Source organism: Homo sapiens, chromosome 14, assembly GCF_000001405.40.
Source record: "Homo sapiens chromosome 14, GRCh38.p14 Primary Assembly".
In the NCBI taxonomy this organism is placed as follows: domain Eukaryota; kingdom Metazoa; phylum Chordata; class Mammalia; order Primates; family Hominidae; genus Homo; species Homo sapiens.
The window spans coordinates 68,120,441-68,140,540 of record NC_000014.9 but is presented as its reverse complement, the minus strand read 5'-3'; the positions used below and the strand labels follow the sequence as shown (position 1 = coordinate 68,140,540).

The 20,100-nt window shown below is 37.9% G+C and overlaps 1 protein-coding gene and 1 long non-coding RNA gene across 14 annotated transcripts in view, besides 1 other annotated feature; one reads left to right on the top strand and one right to left on the bottom strand.

Annotated features, from left to right (window-relative positions):
* LOC105370546 (uncharacterized) overlaps nucleotides 1–19,293 on the top strand; it is a 45,990-nt gene extending 26,697 nt beyond the window's left edge. The window contains exons 3-4 of one of the 2 annotated variants that reach the window (XR_943976.3): nucleotides 10,328–10,475; nucleotides 15,132–19,293. This is a non-coding gene — a long non-coding RNA (uncharacterized LOC105370546). Of the gene's footprint in view, nucleotides 1–10,327; nucleotides 10,476–11,500; nucleotides 11,755–15,131 lie in introns of those variants that run through there. The other variant, XR_943977.3, reaches the window with a different exon arrangement.
* Nucleotides 1–20,100, bottom strand: part of RAD51B (RAD51 paralog B) — an 863,318-nt gene that overhangs the window by 542,556 nt on the left and 300,662 nt on the right. The window lies entirely within an intron of this gene.
* Nucleotides 1,907–2,891: an enhancer, noted in NCBI's record as "NANOG-H3K27ac hESC enhancer chr14:68604367-68605351 (GRCh37/hg19 assembly coordinates)". NCBI's record gives its function as "activates a minimal SCP1, AML or CMV promoter by ChIP-STARR-seq in primed H9 embryonic stem cells {active_cell/tissue: H9 hESC(primed)}" and the evidence as "EXISTENCE:reporter gene assay evidence [ECO:0000049][PMID:30033119]".

Sequence of the window (20,100 nt, the reverse complement as noted above, 5' to 3'; positions counted from 1 at the left end):
GGCTGGCAAGCCCTGGCCTGTTAAAACTCTTTAAAAACCAATGCCTTGGTGGAGGTAACATTTACTGTTTACTGTAGCTGTGGTTGTTAGGGGTTATTGCTAAGGTCCTGGTTTTCCATGACATCAGCAGCATTCCAAGGGAAGTGTGTGTCAGTGACTTTCAGTAATGACTCCCTTTTCCAAACGTTCAAATCTTCTGCCAAGCTGCCCTACACCTGCACACCAGCTGAGTTGCAGGAAAAGGAAAAGCAAGATGGATTAAGTGGGATTTTTGTCTGGGCTCCTTAATGAGACTAAAGGCTTTTCTTCCTTCAGTGTTTGGTCTTGTGTAATAAATTGATGCCAACTCCTTTAGGAGTGACATGACTCATCCTTAACTTTTTATAAACTGATCTGATTATCTGTCATGACCTCTCTCTGTCATATTCTGGAATCGCCTTTTGAGAGTTTTCTTCTGTAGAAAAAGTTTAGGGCTTAATGAGACGATCAGCATGGCATGCCAACCCTCTGGCAGGGTTTCTCAGGGAGGCACCTGCTGCTCCCCAAATTAGCAGGAAGCAGAAGCAGTGAGGAGACATTACTGTGTGGCTGCTTCAAGGGTCACCTGGCTTTCAACGTTTCAAACCAGATGTGTTCTCTCAAGATGGCAGCAGCAGACCTCATTCTAGAGCCTGTCCTCGCCAAAAACAGGGATCTGGTTAACCTTATCTGAGGGTGCCTAGTGCCCACTCAAAAAGCCTGTGACTACTATCAGGGCCAGTGCCAATTGTACACTTTTATGAGACCTTTTTCCAAAGGCTTAAAGTGTTTTACCAATATTAACTCATCAGGAGTCATGGCAACCCTCGAGTAGAAAACTGGCAAATATTGGTTCAGGTGGGAGAAATTGTGGGATGGGATTGAGAAGAATCAAGTACTCTGCTAAGAGTGAGGCAGTGGGAGTGCTCCCATGCCCCACACTGCCACCCCTTAGGTAATTTATCCCTTTCAGGGCTTCTTCCAGTTCTGCCTAGGCTAGATGAACCTGCTTTTTTTTTTGTCTCAATCAAAGGGTTTTGAAAAATAAGCACTGCTGTTAATAAGGCAAAGCCTGAAGCTGTCAAAGGAAAACAAGAACAATTTTATACAAAGACACAAAGAACTGTCCTCTTAAGAGTTTTGATAAAAGAATGATTTATGTATGCAGTATCTGCTTCTATGACTGACACAAAGTACAAGGTTCAATCTTTCTGTACCTCAACTTTCTCATCTATACAAGCCAAAAAAAAAAAACCATTTAGAATATCTCCAGAGATGTTTTGAAATTTTAGTAATAAATGTTTTGAATTGCACAGAGATCTTTGAAGGAGGATCTCTGAAGTGTTGAAAAGTGCCCTGTCTTATAGTATGTTATAGTTCTAGAGGAAAGTCCTTTAATTACTGGTATATATGTTAGGAAATAAGGATAAATTCATGCGGTTTCAAGTGATTTTTAAAAATAAAAGCTGCTATAATTACAAAAAAAAATCATCTTTATCTTGCAGAAACATTTTTTTAAAAGTGGTAGAGGCAGGTTCTTCCATAGTATATGGCATCCACAGATAACACACTAATAAAGATGGCTACTTTTCCCAATTTCTCTTTGACTTCATCAAAAAGGAATTAAACATGAAAAAATACTAAAAGAACCATTCTCATTCAATCATAGATTGAATGAAGATAGAAAAGCACAGCTCTTAGGTTCAACTACTGAGTTAAGCTATAAAAGTCTGTTCAGTGTAAGCTCACATTGAGTTTTGAGCCTTAATTTCCTTGACTATTTTTTAAAAAGATAATTTTACAATTATACCTTGTTAGCAAAAGATTGGGCCAATTAGGAAATAAGTCTTTCAATAGACTTCCTGGTGTGCAGAATTAACAAAGTTATCCCTGACTAAATTCCACAAATCATTTTCATAAATAAATACATAAATTAGGGAGCAGAGAGAGAGACAGATACAGAGAAAGACAGAAAAGTTTTTATCCAAAATGCTTAAAACCCAAGAAAAGAGAATTTTTTTTTAAGTTTCTTTTCTCCTTGAAGAGAAAAGATTTAATGAGTTACTAATCCCCTCAGTAAAGTTCTTTGGTAATTGCCCTATTTTAAGCCACACTCATTTTGCTAGGAGCCTTTGCTGTTAAAAGATGTTGTTTTATTATGTGAAACTACACACAAAAGCAATGTAACAAAACGGTAAAATGTACTTCTGATTTTGTTATGCTACCAACCTATACTTACCCAGAAATTTTAACTGCCAAATGTCTTTTATTTAATGCAGACTTCATCTTTCACCACCCACCCATTACCACATGAAGTAACAACATCATTAGGAGTGGAAAACTCTGGGAATAACAACCTGAGCCCTGGAAAAAAAAAATACTAAATGGGAATCTGCCTGCAGCTCTGCAGATTTTCAAGCTTGTCCTGGCTTCTTGGGTCTGTAAGCTAGACTTTTGTGCCCAGACTATGGCTGGATGAGCAAGGCAAGCTCAAATCACACCCTGAGGGCTAGGAACAGAACACACAGTCTACAATCCTCTAAAGAGTTTTGAGAGCTTGCTACAGAGAATCCTTTCTCATTGGCCCTTGGTGATGTCATGCCCATGTCTCCAGGGCCCAGGAAATGCACCATGACTAATGGAGCGCCTCATCTGTGAATACACATTCCTTCTCAGAGGAGCAGCAACAGGCAGTGTCAGGGCAACGAAGAAGGCCCAGTTAGGGAATGCCAGTCAGTCATGCAAAAAGGGCTTCAGTAGTTTTGAAATAGACTGCTCTTGTTCACCTTCTCAGAAAACCCTCAGCAATTGCATGAACACCTGTGGACTGTAGTTCTTTAAAATGTGCATACCTTTTTGCCCCAATGAATAAAATTGAACAAGTATTCAAAGGCATATATTTAGGGATGTTCATCATAATATTGTTTATAATGGCAAAAGACAGTAAACAAATGTTCAACATAAGATTTCGATTCATTTATGGTGCATTCCATGTGGATTCCATGCAACTATTAAAGATAATGATGGTATTAATAGAATTGGAAAGAGGTTAACAGTGTATTAGCTTTTGTAGTCATTAAAGAACACTTTGATTTTAAAATTCTCAAGAACTATAAAATAATAAATTTGGGTTGTTTTATGTAACTTAAATCTGTAGTAATTTCTTACCATAGCAATAGGAAACTGAAACTAATGTAGCAGCCTTCCCCAAAGTTACACACAGCTTGTACTAGTAATGTCAAAACTCAAATCCTTAGGTCCAGTTTTCCTTCTATCAGGAGTGCAGTGGCGTGGTCTCGGCTCACTGCAACCTCCGCCTCCCGGGTTCATGTGATTCTCCTGCCTCAGCCTCCCGACTAGCTGGGATTATAAGCGTGTGCCATCACGCCAGGCCAATTTTTGTATTTTTAGTAGAGGCAGAGTTTTACCATGTTGGCTAGGCTGCTCTCGAACTCCTGACCTTAAGTGATCTACCCTCCTCGGCCTCCCAAAGTGCTGGGATTACAGGCATGAGCCAACATGCCTAGCTTATCAAAAACTTCTATACCTCCATCTGTTATTTCCATACTGTTTTCTCAAATATAGGAAAATCCCAGTTCAATGCTTTTATTGTGTTATATGGAAAAATACCTGATTAACTACAATATGGGACCATTGTATAGTGGTTAAGAGCATAGCCTCTGGACTGGTTTTGAACCCTGGTTCTGCCACTTATTAACTGTATGACCTTGGGCATGTTATCTAGTCTCCCTCTGTCTCAGTTTCATCATCTGTAAAATGAGGTTAATAATATCTATCTTAATAGGTTTATTGTCAGGATTTAATTAGTTAACATTTGCAAAGAACACAAAACACACCAGCATGGAATAAGCAGTATGTGTTTGTTACAATAAGCTTTTAAAAGTATGGCTGGTCTACTTCTTTTTTTTTTTTTTTTTTTTTTTTTTGAGATGGAGTCTCATTTGTCACCACACTACAGTGCAGTGGTGTGATCTCAGCTCACTGCAACCTCTGCCTCCCGGGTTCAAGCGATTCTCCTGCCTCAGCCTCCCAAGTAGCTGGGACTCCAGGCATGTGCCACCATGCTCAGCTAATTTTTGTATTTTTAGTAGAGATGGGGTTTCACCATGTTGGACAGGATGGTCTCGATCTCTTGACCTCGTGATCCACCCGCCCGCCTTGGCCTCCCAAAGTGCTGGGATTACAGGTGTGAGCCACTGTGCCCGGCCTGATCCACCTTTAATTTGTCATATGTGACCCTGCTCACAGCAAAACAAAATATTAAAGATGACTGGATAGCAAATAATTTAACTAAAAATTAAATTTTCAATTCAGACGTTTGATTCTTAACTAATTTTGATTTTTAATTACACAGTCTAGATCCTGTTTTGGAAGATTTTCCTATGTTTGGGCAAGTCACATTTTAAGCCAGACTACAAATAGATCAGCTAGTTTACAGATAGGAAAAGTGTCTCATTTATACCTTAAAACTAATATAGAGTCACTTTTTTTATAAATAATATAAGGACCAAGATTTTTAAAAATATGAACTATGCAGAGGGCATCTGATTAGCTAGCTTGTTCAAATGGCTGAGTCTCTTTTTATAGAATATGGTGAACGGTGGACTTTGGAATCTCATATTTAGAATCTTCAGCCATCCCTGAGGTAACTTAAGGCTCTACTGAAAATTTCTCTACTTGGCAAGAAATTAACTAAGTATGAGGATTTCTCTCCTCATCTCATATTCTCCTGTGCATGCTTGTAAGTATTACTTGCTTGGCTTGGATTTAATCTTAATGGAATGTAACCACTCCCAAAGCACTGAAAGCATTCACTAAGATTTGGACATGTTGCGTTTTGGATGAATGAGGAAGATTCTGTGACAGAAGATGGGAAGTAAGGATATTCAATCAAATCAGTGAAATACTGACAGGCAATACAAGCTTACCATAATAAGAAATGAGAACCAAATTGTAAGCTCCATGAGGGCAGAACCTATGTCTATGTGTATACTATTCCCCATTATAACCCTGAACCCAGCACAATCTTGACAAAGCTGGTAGGTGTGCAGTATTTCTGGAATGAACAAATGGGCTGCCAAAAGGAAAAGCTAAAGGCTAAATTTATATAAACAAAGCAACATGGGACGTTGCTGCACTGTCTAATATGGTTGGGATTGTGTAGAAAGAAAAATATTAGTAATATGAGGTGTTTATTTACAATAATCCATTGTACAAGTAGAATCACATGTCCTCTTTCCGGTGTTATTAAATCTTGCTGAAACTCAAAATGAAACTACCTCAGAAAGTGAGATCTTCCTTTGCTACATTAATTAAAACACTAGAGAAAAGCAGGTATTAGAATAGAGTAGAACACACAGACATTCCACTACACTTAAACACTATGTACTCAATGGTTTTACTCATCTTAAAATTTAACTGCATCTGCATTGGTAACACGTCTGAGCTGAAAAAGAAGGTAGAGCAGGTAATTTGGCAATTTAAAATTCTTAAGATCAATAAAAAGTATGCAAAATGTATACTTCATTCCTTAAAATATTAATCATAAAAATAACATAAAATCATCTTCATCAAAATGTAAAACCTTTGCTCTGCAAAAACCCTGTTAACAGGATGAAAAGGTAGTTTACAGAATGGGAGAAAATATTTGTAAACCATATATCAGACAAAGAACTTGTATCTAGAATGCGAAGAGGATTCCCAAAATTCAACATTAAAAAAATCAAATAACCCAATTAGAAAATTAGCAAAAAATATACACAGACATCCTTTCACTCAAGCGGGATATATAGATGGCAAGTAAACACATGAAAATATGTTTAACATCAATTAGTCATTAGAAAAATGTAAATTAAAATCACAATATTACTATCACCTATCAAAAATGGCATTTAAAAATTAATGATAACGCTAAATGATTTTGGATCACTCATACACTGCTGGTGGAAATGTAAAATGGAATCGCCATTCTGGAAAACAGTCTGATAGTTCCTTTTAAAACTAAAAATAGATTTACTATACAACCCAGGATTGTACTCTTTGATACATATCCCAGAGAAATGAAAACTTTTCTCATAGAAATTTGTACATGAAGGTTCAGAGCAGCTTTATTCATAATAGTCCCAAACTGAAAACTATCCAAATATCCTTAAAAGGGTGAATAGTTAAACAAACTATGGTACATCCATACAACAAAATACTACTCAGCAATAAAAATAAATGAATTCTATATACACATAACCACTTGGATGAACCATAAGAAAAGTGGAAAAAGCCAATTACAAAAGGCTACATACTGTATAATTTCATTTATGTAATATTTGTGAAATAACATGATTACAGAGATGGAGAACAGATTCACGGTTACCAGAGGTTAGGGAATATGAGATGGGGTGGGTGTGGCTAGCAGGATGTGGCACGAGAGGCTTCTGATAATACAGTGAGGCATTTTGATGGATGCTAGTGGTTATTCAAAGCTACGCATGATGACACACAAAAATGAATGCATGCATTACTGGTGAAATAAGTTTTATGGGTTGTACCCATATTGGTTTCCAGGTTTTGATACTGTACTTGAGCCATGGAATATGTCAACACTGGGGAAGGCTGGGTGAAGGATATATATGACCTCGCTGTACATTTCTTTGTACCTTGCTATGAATATATAATTATTTAAAAAAAAAAGTTTTCTTAACAAGCCAAAATAATCTTAAAAAAATCATTCAGATTTGGCCAGGCATGGTGGCTCATGCCTGTAATCCCAGCACTTTGGGAGGCTAAGGCGGGAGGATCACGAGGTCAGGAGTTCGAGACCAGCCTGGCCAATATGGTGAAACTCCGTCTCTACTAAAAAAATACAAAAATTAGCCAGGCGTGGTGGTGTGCGCCTGTAGTCCCAGCTACTCAGGAGGCCGAGGCAGGAGAATCGCTTGAACCCGGGAAGTGGAGGTTGCAGTAAGCCAAGATCACGCCACTGCACTCCAGCCTGGGCAACACAGTGAGACTTCGTCTCAAAAAGAAAAAAAAATCATTCAGATTTAAGAGTACTGTCTTTGAAGGTAATGTGACTTTAAAGCCACAGGTTCCATTTTTTAAAAAGCATACATGACTTCTCTTCTACCAGACATTCATTTTTAGAAAATAAAACATTTTCCTCTATCCTCAAATTCAAAAACAGCTGAATAAATATTCCTCAGTTTCCAAACAGAGTAATCCTTGAGTAGAAATACGTGGAAAAAGAAAATTCCTAGTATAAACCAATATGTGCCTGCCTTACCTGAAAAACAGCTAGAATCACATCATCTCTGAGTTGGAAAGAACTTCAAGTTCTTCCAGTTCAAATTCCCACCAACATAAGATTCATTTCTCTAATATTTCTGATTGAGCTAACCTTTGAATACATGCAATTACTATATTGCCTGCCCCCCACATTCTTTTCTGGAAAAAGCATCCCTCTTTTTTCTGTGAACTGCTTTTCTCAATTATAGTTCTCCTAAGAGCCAATTTTTTCCATCCCGAGATCAGTCCAGAGAAGGCACTGGAACCAAACTAGGGGTCCTGCCCCTTGGCCTTGGTTGATTTGTTCAGAATTGGGCACTTGGCCCAACCTGGACCAGAGAATTTTTCCAAGGTTTTTCTCACTAAATGTGCTAGAGAGAGTTTCTCTTGATTGTTGGGAGATGTATAACCCAGGCATGCTTAGCAATCATGTTTCACATAATGTGCATGAGAGAGTAAGTCTGCAGAGGGAAAATGAGCTAATACTCTGAGAGAAGCAGAGATGAAAGAAAGAGAAATAAGGAAAGCTGCATTTGAGTCTCTGGTTCTAGCAGTTTCTGGGGCCCAGTGGGATGCCTGCCCTCTCCACAGTTTGGCTGTTCAATCCTTTCTTTGTTCACATGAGACATTCCTAATATCTTTCCACTAATTTCCTCTTTTTACCAAGCTAGTTCAAGTCACGTTTCCACCACATGCAATGAAAAGAATATCCTACTATGAATAAGAAGTCCATAACTCACAATACAGCCTGTTAAGAGCTCTAATTGTTAGAATGTTCTTCCTGATGTTGAAACACATATGCCTCCATGGATATTCCAACTATTGCCTTACATCCTTACCAAGGCTCATCTTCCTCTTTCCAATATTCAAAGATTATGATCACATAACCTTTGTGGATATTCATTACTTTTTGTCTGTACAGCATATATTTCCTTACTATTTTGATAATAGCACCCCAAATCTTTGAGGAAAATTACCTCTACCCCACTGAATGCAGCCTAATGGGATTATGAGTCAAGATTCCCTGCCATTCTTTAGCCAAAAAGTGAACATATGACCCAAGCCAGATCCCCTAGTTTTGAATCTTAACAAAAACACTGAAAGTTGCTGGAGTGTGATAACTTTGGCAGTGAAGCCCAGAAGAATGTGACTGCCAGGTTTACTGAGCCCTCTTAAGCTGTTCTTTCCCTGTCCTTTCTGAGCCTGATTCTTCCTTCTTCTCTTTGACTCTGTAAACTCTTTAATATCCTTCCAATAAGAAATGCTATTAACTGGTTAGTTTATATAATTAAACAAGTCTATCTTAAACATATCCCCAAAGTTTTCTCTTTTTTAGGCTAAGTAATCTCAGCTTGTTGAACTGTACTTCAGGTGACTTGATTTCCAATCTATAATCTGATTGGTTCCCTCCTAAATGAACATTTATCAAAAATCTTTGTGAACACATGGCAGTCAAACAAAAGGTGGTCTGACCAGAACAGAGAGCGATAGGAAGAATATGTCGATCTTTTTATTTTTTTATTTTTTTGAGATAGAGTTTCGCTTTGTCACCTAGGCTGGAGTGAAGTGGCATGATCTCGGCTCACTGCAACCTCCGCCCACTGGGTTCAAGCGATTTTCCTGCCTCAGCCTCCCAAGTGGCTGGGATTATAGACGCATGACACCACGCCTGGCTAATTTTTGTATTTTTAGTGGAGGCAGGGTTTCACCATGTTGGTCAGGCTGGTCTCGAACTCCTGACCTCAGGTGATCAGCCTGCCTTGGCCTCCCAAAGTGCAGGGATTACGGGCGTGAGCCACCGCACCCAGCGAATATGTCCATCTTTGATCTTGACATGTACTTTTGTTAATGCAGCTCCAAAGCCCACATCACAAGCACATGACACTGAGGCAGATTTTGATTTTATAGACAACTAAAATCTTAAGTCATTTTATATTAACTTCTATAAAATTAAATATTTTCAGCTGTATAGTATACAGTTTACTTTTAAAATTCTAAGTGACATTGCAGCCTTTTAGGCTTGATGTGGTTTCAGTTAAGTCTACAAAATTTGCCAATGTAATGATATGGTTGTCACTGACTTTAGAAATACAGATTGAGTTTTATTCTCTAACAATGTGACAAGGGAATAAAATAACAATAATCCTGTTTATCAATCTGCTCTAAAGGAATTTAATAATTCTAAATTTGGATATTTGAGTCACATAATTAGCTAAATACATTTGTATAAAAGAACCTCTGAGCCACTGATACTCAAACAAATAGAGCCTGACTTTTCCTAAGGGATGAAAAAACAAAATTTGGTAAATAAAAGACACACACACACACACAAACACACACCCACACACACAAAGTCAGCCATATAGATCAGGCATTAAGAACCAGTAGATTATGGAGGCTTACTTGATAACTCTCAACAATCTGTGACTGCCAAGCACTTTTCTCTGATATTTACAGGAATTCCCATAGGAAGTGAAGTTGCCACCATTTCACCTTTGAAATTTTATTTTCAGGATTCTTACTTTAGTTCAGAAAGTTTATAATGCTCAGAGATCTCAAGGCTTCAGTAAAAGAATCAATTTCTACAAAAAAAGAGAGGAGATTGGCTAAAGAAAAATTATTAGACATTTTGTTTGAATTTCTGAGATCTTTAATTTTAACCATGGCTTTAATCCAAGATATGCTATACAATGAGAATTTTGAAGAACAAATACAGTTGTAAAGCAATAGAGAGATGATTCCTAAAAGGGAGGGCTGGCTGCCCAGTTTGTTCCCCAACATTGGTTTTCATCTTGGTGAATTTATCTTCATTCCAGGATCTAAATCTCAGCTAATCAGTTTCAAAACCCAATCTTTAAACACAGCAAGAGGAGACCCACATTAAGCAGATTCACAGAGGCTGATGTATATAATAAGAATGTTGATTTATTAATCTCCTCAGAGAAAATCAATTGCTACATAGACCAGGAACACTTGAGTCAGCCACACTACTGTATTTTCTCCTCTGAAGGCACCCTCTATGGACCAGAGAACAACCTCTAGGAGTTGAGAGCAGTCCCTGGCTGATACCAAGAAAACAAGACTTCAGTTCTAAAGCTGCAGAGGAATGAAATCTGCCAATAAAAGGAATGATCTTGGAAGAGGACTATGAGCTCCAGGTAAGAACACTGCCAACCAATACCTTGATTTCATTTCAGCCTGAATAGAAAACTCAGCCATACTGTCCTGGATTTCTATCTACAGAAATGTGAGCTAATAAATGGCTGTTGTTTTAAGCTGTTAAGTTTGTGGTTACACCGCAGTAGAAAACTAACACACCTATAGACCAATGATCCTCAAAATGTTGTTCCCCAACCAGCATCACTATCATCTAGGAACCTGTTAGAAATGCAAATTCTTGGGCCATAAGCATCTGGGGATAGGGCCTAGGAATTGGTACTTTAACAAGGCCTCCAGTTAATTCTAAAGTATATACTAAAGTTTGAGAACCACTGGAGTACACTCTGCTTGTAGGCACAGGCAACCTTTACCTTGCGATTTGATCTTGTCCATGCTTCTATAGATGACCAACATCTTTTCTGACTAATATCTGCTATTTAGTTTTGCAGTCAAGTCTTTTATTCTTTCAAGATCATAGTATTTAAGAAAATTGTGTAAATTTCCACTGTGACCCTGTGCTTATCGATTTCTAGTTTAGGGGAAAATCTAATTTCCCCTTTTAAGTGACAGGCACCTCACTGCTGTTGCCCTGTGGTATCTACACTGAACCAGACACTAGGTACAATGTAGCAGTTGTAGTTAAACTACCAAATTGATGTTAAACTAAATTATTCTCTAGTTAAAGAATAATGTGACATGTGTAAGTCTTTAAGTTTTAGCTGTGTTGTCACCCCAAACTCTAAACTCATAGAGTTCTCAGTTTCTCAGTTTCAGCAATCAGTGTTTGCCTGGAAGTGAGCATCCTACCTCAGTATACAAAGAAAACTCGTAAGGTATAGTAGAAAGAGGCTTGAACAAGCAGCCAAGAGACCTAGGTTCTAGTTTAGGCTCTACTATGGACTTGCTGTGTAACCTTAAACAAATAAGTTAACATCTCAGAGCCGATCTCCTCATCTATAAAATAAAAGCCTCTAAGCAAAGGATCTCCTACAGCTAAATCCTTCTGTGGCTTTCTCATTCACAGTGAATTCTTCCAGAAGCAAGACCAGTGCCCTTGATGACAAAAAAGAGCAAGATACAAAGTAGTAAATGATACTGCAACTGGCTTAGTTTGTGTCTCCTAAGAAGAGAAAAAGGCTAGATACCTTCTCATCTCTAGGAAATTACCTTTCAGAGTAAAGAAAAATTAATTTCAATGAAAAACTACATGTTAACTCTTTTAAAATAGAGAGCTACCAAAACTAGCTTGAGAGTTTAAATTAAAATTATGAATGCTAACTTAGTAAGAGCTGTGTATCTGTTACCAAGTTCATATCATTTGAGAGCAGAGATACAGAGCAGTATCTACAAGCCCCCCCACTCACGTTTTTTTTGAGACAGGGTCTCACTCTGTCACCTAGGCTGAAGTGCAGCAGCATGATTTGGGCTCACTGCAACCTCTGCCTCCCGGGTTCAAGTGGTTCTCCCACCTCAGCCTCCCGTGTAGCTGGGGCTACAGGCGTGTAACACCACACCCAGCTATTTTTTGTATTTTCTGGTAGAGATGGGGTTTCACCATGTTGGCCAGGCTAGTCTCGAACTCCTGACCTCAAGTGATCCATCCACCTTGGCCTAAGTGCTGGGATTATACGAGTGAGCCACTGGTGCCTGGCCTATAAGCCCCTTTTTAATGAAACCTACACTCTGTCAGGTTTGACCTGAAAATTCCAGGTAATTTGATTGCAAAGAAACTCCTCTTGCGATCTAATTGACTTCTCTTCACATTAACTTTATTGAAGGTCTATTTCTCTGGGTGAGAATCTAAGCTAAAGATAGAGACACAAAAAGGATTAAGCTTCTAAAGGAATGAAGTTTGATCTTCCAAAGGAAGAACTTGGAACAATCAAAACCAAACTCATATTCCAGCTTCTAAATACTGCCATGTTCAGAAGGTTTCTACATTTCTCTTAAAAGCCATTTGGTCCCAGTGATACTTCCCAAGCGGTAAAAAGAATTTTCACTTTAAAGCTAACGAATTTTTATGGGTTTTTCTAATTGTATCATACATTCATTTTTATGTTCCATTCAATAGATATTTGTTGATCATCTACCATGCTCTCCAAGCCCTATGCTAGGAACCTCAGCATAGAAGGTATAGCACCTACTCACAGGGAACTTACATTCCTAGGGGACACAAACTAACAGGCAATTCCATCATGAGATACAATGAAAACTCTAAAATTTAATTCTATCTGATAACAGATCAATTCTACTTAACCTTCTAAGAAATGACAGAATACCATCTCTGGGTTTTAAAGTAAGAGTGAATAAGCAACATATCCTTCCTATCATGATGATATCAACATAATAAAGCAGAATACTTCATTGTTACTTGTGGTTTTCCAGGGACAAAAAGCATTACTGTGTGTATGTGTGTGTGTGTGTGTGTGTGTGTGTGTGTGTGTGTGTGTGTGTGTGTGTTACAATGTACAATTGTTATTTATGAATTATCACTATACAGTACCGCTAACTGGAATATGAGCCCCTATATTTCCCATTCATATACTCAAGGCCACCATTCACTGAATAAATCCAACATTCATTCAATACAAATTAATGAGTACTCTGTGTTGCAGCATTATGCTAGGCCCTGGGTTAATACAGATGGAGGACTTAGTCCTATCCCCATGGAATTTGCAGTCTAATAGAAGAGACAGCTATATAAACAAATCGTTGAAACAGTATGTGAATAGTGCTTTTAAGAGCATATAATCCTAGCAGAGCACAGGGAGTGAACAGACCACTCAGGAGGAAACCAGGTGGGTTGGGGTTGTTGCCTGATCTATAGCTACATTCAATGGTCTGGGTGGAGTAGTTTGGGAAATACAAAAATAAATAAGACAAAATCTCCTTTCTGATTTCCATGATAAATAGGGAGAGAGATGAAAAAATATAATTTGAGGCACATATATGAGATAAGCCCTTTTACAGAGGGTCAAAGTGCTTTGGAAAAGCAGAGCAGAGGATAACTACTTTCTTTTAAGGGTGCTGGAGAAGGTTTCACAAAGGAGGTGGTATCTGAGGTGGCTCATTAGCTTATACTCTGGAAGGTTCTATGTATACCAGCAGACATAAATTATTTCAGTTCTGAAGAGGTGCTTTTAGATTTTCCCTCAGCTACTTTAAAGTCTTTATTGAGAAACTGCAATAAGCAAATATATTCTCCGTAGAACGAATCCACCCAAACACCTTGAGATTCTCATTCCACATATTTCACACATGATATCTTTTAAGTCTGGGAAAGTAGACTAGGAAATGTTTCAAATACTCAAGGGCCTCAAAACATATATGTTAGAAAGTGTACCTAATTTCCAAAAAAGGTACAATTGCAGAAGAATCCATTTTGATTGGAAAACAAGCTGCTCACTTCTGGTATGGAACAGATGCTGCAGTTTGAGTACTAAGGAAGTAAAAAGCACCTCTGCTGTCAAGTAAGTCACTGCACAGTCTCTTCTCCAGCTCAGCAGCAATCTCATGCTGATCAACGTGTCATACATGAAAACCCATTTTCTTTGGTGAGGGGCTATAGTTTTATGCAGTTATTCAAAGGAGTAGAACACTTCTGACTGCTGCTTCCAATCTTTGCTGACAACGACTTAGGACTGGAGGACTTGAATATAAAGTAATCCATAAAGAAGGAAAGTAATTTTGTAACTGCTGAGTATGAGACTTTTTTTTGGCATACACAAAACCTAAATGGCTCCCCCAGAACAAGAGCATGCACAACAATAGAATCAAGGCAGCAAACATGCTCAGGAAACAAGGCTACATAAACTAAGGGAAGTGCTATTATGAATACGAATATTTAAAAGCTGATAAAAGAATGATTTTTGTTGTTACTACAGTAAAAAATTATTAGCACAAAAAAAGGTATAGCTATAAAACAAAGATGTATATAATTCAATCTCCCTTCTATTATAATTATTGCAACCAAGTTATTCATATCAGATCTAGCACCAGAGAAATCATGGGAAAACACCAGGATTAATGAGAGTGCCCATCTAACATAAGTGTTGATAGTCATCATGAAGATCAGATATGGGATGACTTACTTCAACTTCTTAAGTATCATTTTGATAACTCCTTTAGACTCTGTTTTCATGTGATCCTATGGGACGTTGGTGCTTTCTAAATGACACCATGAGAATGAGTTTCAATGGAGCTACAGTTCTAAGAACAGAGCCTTCCATCAATTTTCATGGCCAATTACATGATATTTAAGATCAACTGACTAATCATCCAAAAAGGGATTTATCTTTGAAAAAACAAAACAAAACAAAACAAAAACCTCTTAAATACCTACATGGTTACAATGGCTCCAGAAGTGAGACACTTTTTTTCTTTTCCCAGGAATATCCAATTCTCCTGGCAACTAAACTGACCACAGTCAAATTGCACAGATTTTTTTTCTACAAACCTGAATATGTACACATTAACCAAAGTGCTCTGCCACTGCTCACAAATATTGAAGTTCAGCTTGCAAGCACAGTCATTTGCATTGATGAAGCCCCAGTTCTAAGCAATATCAGATTAAGTTCACATTCAGATGAACACAGGGCACTGAGAATTACACAGCCAGCTACTTATGAACGACTGCGTGTGCTTTTCCATTGCAGTTTTTCTTCCAGCTCTCATGGAAACAAGCACTGCCACAGCCCCTTGATGAGCCAGCAGAGTCCAGTCATCTGGCAACAATGACAGGTATCTGGCATCTGAGAGGAATATCAACTGAAGACAATGAGAGAATTAAAAAAGAAGTAAACACAAGACAATCTTTTTTCACCCCCTTAGATTCTGCATTTCCACTTGCTTGATTCAGTAATTGTTTTGTTTTGAATGTTGTGTAAATGAATGCTACAGCCCTATGCAATTTTTAAACCACTTTGCTGTGTGTCTCATATGGAGCTCAACAATGTTACTGCTGGCATGAGTGCACCATAAAGCATATGACTCCCTGATGTAACATTTTAAATAAGGATACATTTCTCATCCAATGTGACATTATGCAGGAAAATTTCACTTCGTCACCTGTTTCTCATGAGAGCTTGAGAAAGCTATATAATTTTTTTTTTTTTTTGAGTCAGAGTCTTGCTCTGTCACCCAGGCTGGAGTGCAATGGCACAATCTCGGCTCACTATAACCTCCACCTCCCGGGTTCAAGTGATTCTCCTGCCTCAGCCTCCCAAGTAGCTGGAATTACAGGTGCCCGCCATGCCCAGCTAATCTTTGTATTTTTAGTAGAGATGGGGTTTCACCATGTTGGCCAGGCTGGTCTCAAACTCCTGACCTCATGATCCGCCCCCCTTGGCCTCCCAAAGTGCTGAGATTACAGGTGTGAGCCACCACACCCGGCCTTACATAATTCCTTTCAACTGTATATATCTCATCATTAAAATAAGAATAAGAAAACCTGTCTTCTTTTTTCTCCTTAATAGCTTGTGAGGCCTATGTACTAATCAAAATGAACGAAAATAATTCACAAACTCAGTGACATCAAGGAGCTAGTTTGCTGTTTTACTTAAGGAAGAATTATTCTATGGCTTCAAAAAATAGAGCCATCACATGAAATATCTGAGTACAAAAACACACTATATTGTACAGACTTTTTCGTGTGTACGGCTGCTAGAAGTTAGAAATCACCCAAAGTCTTCTTAATCTGCCACTCTCTGAATAAGACAGGTACCAATACTATTGTGCCTCTATTAGGAATGCAAAGGCTTACAGTAAAATTGGATGAAACTGCTTACTCAGAGTCACCCAGCAGCTCTGTGGTAGGAATGGAAAATAGGCTGAACCCACACTGTTGGATGGTACTATGAGTCTATCATTTCCTCCTTCTATTTAAGGTCATTTCCAAAATGATAGCTCCAATCTTCATATGTGCTTATTATACAATGTGCCACCATTACAAAATTTAATTTTTTTTAAAAAATGGGGGAAAGAGTTCCATTCCCCCACACATCAATTTGCCAGATGATTTAAATAGCACATCCTAGGTCTCTGATGCACAGAGAGTCCAGGGAGCTAATGCATCATTTTGGAATACTTAGAGCCTGAAGAAACACAGAGTCAAATCATAGCAGGACCAACTAGGCTTTTTATCCAAGATGGATAAATGAAATTCCATGCAGTTGCTTGTGCACAAAGTCTTTTCAGTTAGATTTTTGAAATGCAACCAACAGTTTTTTGTTTGTTTGGTTGGTTGGTTTTGTTTTTTTGAGACGGAGTCTCACTCTGTTGCCCAGACTGGAGTGCAGTGGCGCAATCTCGGCTCACTGCAACCTCCACCTCCCGGGTTGAAGCAATTCTCCCACCTCAGCCTCCCGAGTAGCTGGGACTACAGGTGTGCGCCACCATGCCGAGCTAATTTTTGTATTTTTAGTAGAGATGGGGTTTCACCACGTTGGCCAGACTGCTCTTGATCTCCTGACCTCAAGTGATCCACCCATCTCGGCCTCCCAAAGTGCTGGGATTACAGGTGTGAGCCACCGTGCCCAGCTGATATCATCTAACTTTTTAAAAGACTAAGTTCCTGTCCAGGTATGGTAGCTCATGCCTGCGATCTCAACACTTTGGGAGGCCAAGGTGGGAAGACTGCTTGAGCCCAGGAATTCAAGACCAGCCTGGGCAACATAATAAGATACTGACTGTACTAAAAATCAAGAAGAAAATTAGTCAGATATGGTGGTACACGCCTATGATCCCAGCTACTCAGGAGGCTGAGGTGGGAGGATCATGTGAGCCTGAGAGGTTGAGGCTGGAGTAAGCCATGATCATGCCACTGCACTCCAGTCTGGAGGAGACAGCTCTGTCTCAAAAAAAAAAAAAAAAAAAGAAAGAAAGAAAAAAAGAAAAGAAAAGATCATTCCTGACATTTATATGGTTAATTTTATTTTTATGGAACAGGCAAAGCCTGAAAATGATAAAACATAAAAGGATTTGCACTGAAAAGAAAGTCTCTTTTTCCTGTTTCTCACACAGCAAAACCCCCCCCTGGAAACAACCTTACAACAAAGATAAGCTATGCATTTGTGTGTGTGTGTCTGTGTGTGTGTGTGTGTGTGTTTGTTTTATACAAAGGAGAGCATGTTAGACATACTGTTCTCATTTTGCTTTATTTAATAATGCATCTTGGATTTTGTTCCATTACCACTGCAGAACTTCTTCATTCTTTTAACAAGTTGCACAGTATATTCCATGGAGTACCATAATATACTGATTCAGTCTCCTATTGATGACAATTAAGTTGTTTCCAGTCCTCTGCTATTATAAGTATTGATGCAATAACTATACTTATGTCAGTCATTTTGCTCAAATGAAAAACACAAATGTAGGAAAATTCCTTAAGTGGAATTGCTTAGTCAAAGGATACATGCATTTAAGTTTTTTTTATAGATTGGCCTTCACAGAAGTTGTATCTAACAATTTATCATTCCACCAAAAAGTATAAAACCAACTGCTTTCTCAAACCCTTTATAGCCAGTTTTGATCAAGCTTCTTTATCTTCAATAATATGATATATCATGTTTTCCATTTAATTTTCATCAGGAGGGAAGTCTGATATCTTTTTCTTAAATTTTAAAAGCACTTGTGCTTACTTTTCTGTGATCTGTCCTTATCCTTTACCCATCGCTGGTCATTGCTTTCTTGTTTATTTGTAGATGCTCTCTATTCAATAGGGAAAATAGTCTTGGTTTGTGATACATGTGAAATATCTTCTCCAGATTTTCATTTGTCATTTGACTTTGCTTACAATGGATTTTCTTGTTATGCATAAACTTTGTTTTTTAGTATTTAAAGTTAGTTATCTTATGGCTTCTGTGCTTTATATTATACTTGAAAAGACTTTCTAATGTAGAAATTATCTTAAATAACCTTAGATATTCTTCCAATACTTTTTTGATTTTATTTTTCACATTTAAATCATTGTTGCCCCCAAGGATTTATTTTTGGATAAGGCTTAAGATATAAATTCAACTCCATTTCTTTGCCTAATGGTAAGATTTATTGAATGCTCCAGTGTTTATTGTGATATGCAATGCCAACATTATCTTATGTGAAATATATATATATAAGATATGTATATATATCTTATACTCCTTCCACATTTATTTTTGGATGTCCCATTTTTTTCCATTTAACTATCTATACCAGCACCACAGTCTTTAAGTTATTGTAGCTTAATACATTTTACAAAAATTGGTCTAGTCCCACCGCAATGTTCTTCTTTCTCAGAATCTGTCATTATGAATTCTTTTATTTTTGTAAATTTTTTAGTTGAATCACTTGGTTTTTCCAAATATACAATCATATTACTTAGAAGGTATAGTTAATATGCCTCCTTTCTAGTTTTTTTTATTTCTAATTTCTTTTTCTTGTAAGACTCCTTTGTCTAGTGCTACTATAACAATACTAAATGATAGTAGGAATAAGGGTGATCATTGGCTTAATAAGTTTATGGAAATGCTTCTGGAATTCCCTATAAAGCAAGCTGTTGACTTTTTCGTTTTTAGGTTAGCAAGAGGGCACTTACCAAGCTAAGGATTGTGGATCCTTAGATCACTTGACTAGAAGATGGGGATGGGGTCATATGGTACAAACCAGGGCTGTTACTCCTCAACAAGGAGGAATAACGCCTCTTAGAAGCATGGCAAGCAGGTGCCATAAAACATGTCTACTACAATTTCTCACTGCCTGGAATAATTGGAAAAGTTTCATAAATGCTCTGGCTTTCAGGTTCTTCACTTTTGCAATAAAGCTGCTAAGTCTGGTTGCAAAGCTTTTATGATGATTAGAAATAATATATGTAAAATGCCTGATGCACAAGAGTCACTCAATAAGTGACAGCAGTGTGATTAATCTATGACATAATAAAAAGTTCTAACTTGAAACACGAGAGAAAAAAATAACTTCCAGTGCGTAAAGAGATAATTTCATGATCTCAGGGACACTAACTTCCCTATAACCCATTCCTCCATATTAATTTTTACTTTACATTATACCTTCTCTAAAGAAATTGTTACAGAGAATCACACTCCTAGCAATATGACAGAAGACTAGTACATCACACCTAAAATATAAAATATGTCTTTTTAAGCATGGTTCAGCCAGAGAGTAACAGAAATAAATGTAAGCCAGAAACAACTGAAAAAAATAACATTTCTCAGAAGGAAAAAAACTTGGGAGGATTCTTTCCTGAGAGCAGTTGCCAATCCTTAATGAACTAGAGCCTGGGTTCTAAATGGGCACATGGCAAGAGAGTTGGGAGGATAGCAGACAGAGCCCGGGCCCAAGCAGGACAAGAGATTAAATGAGGACCCTTACTTAAAGTTGAGACTTCCAGGCTCCCAAAGGGTGACACCCTCAGTTGGCAAACTAAGAAAAAAAAACCCACCTTGAAGCAGAAGACCTGTCCTTCTCAGATGTGGTTCTGAATATATCAGGAAAAAAAAGGCAGGGGACAAGGGTCTTCCCCATTCATTCATTTTTTCATTCAATGAATATGTATTGAGGGCCAGTTTTTGTTAGGCACCTTTCCAGGCACTGGGTAACAAAGATCTCTGCCCTAATGAGAATTTCTATCTA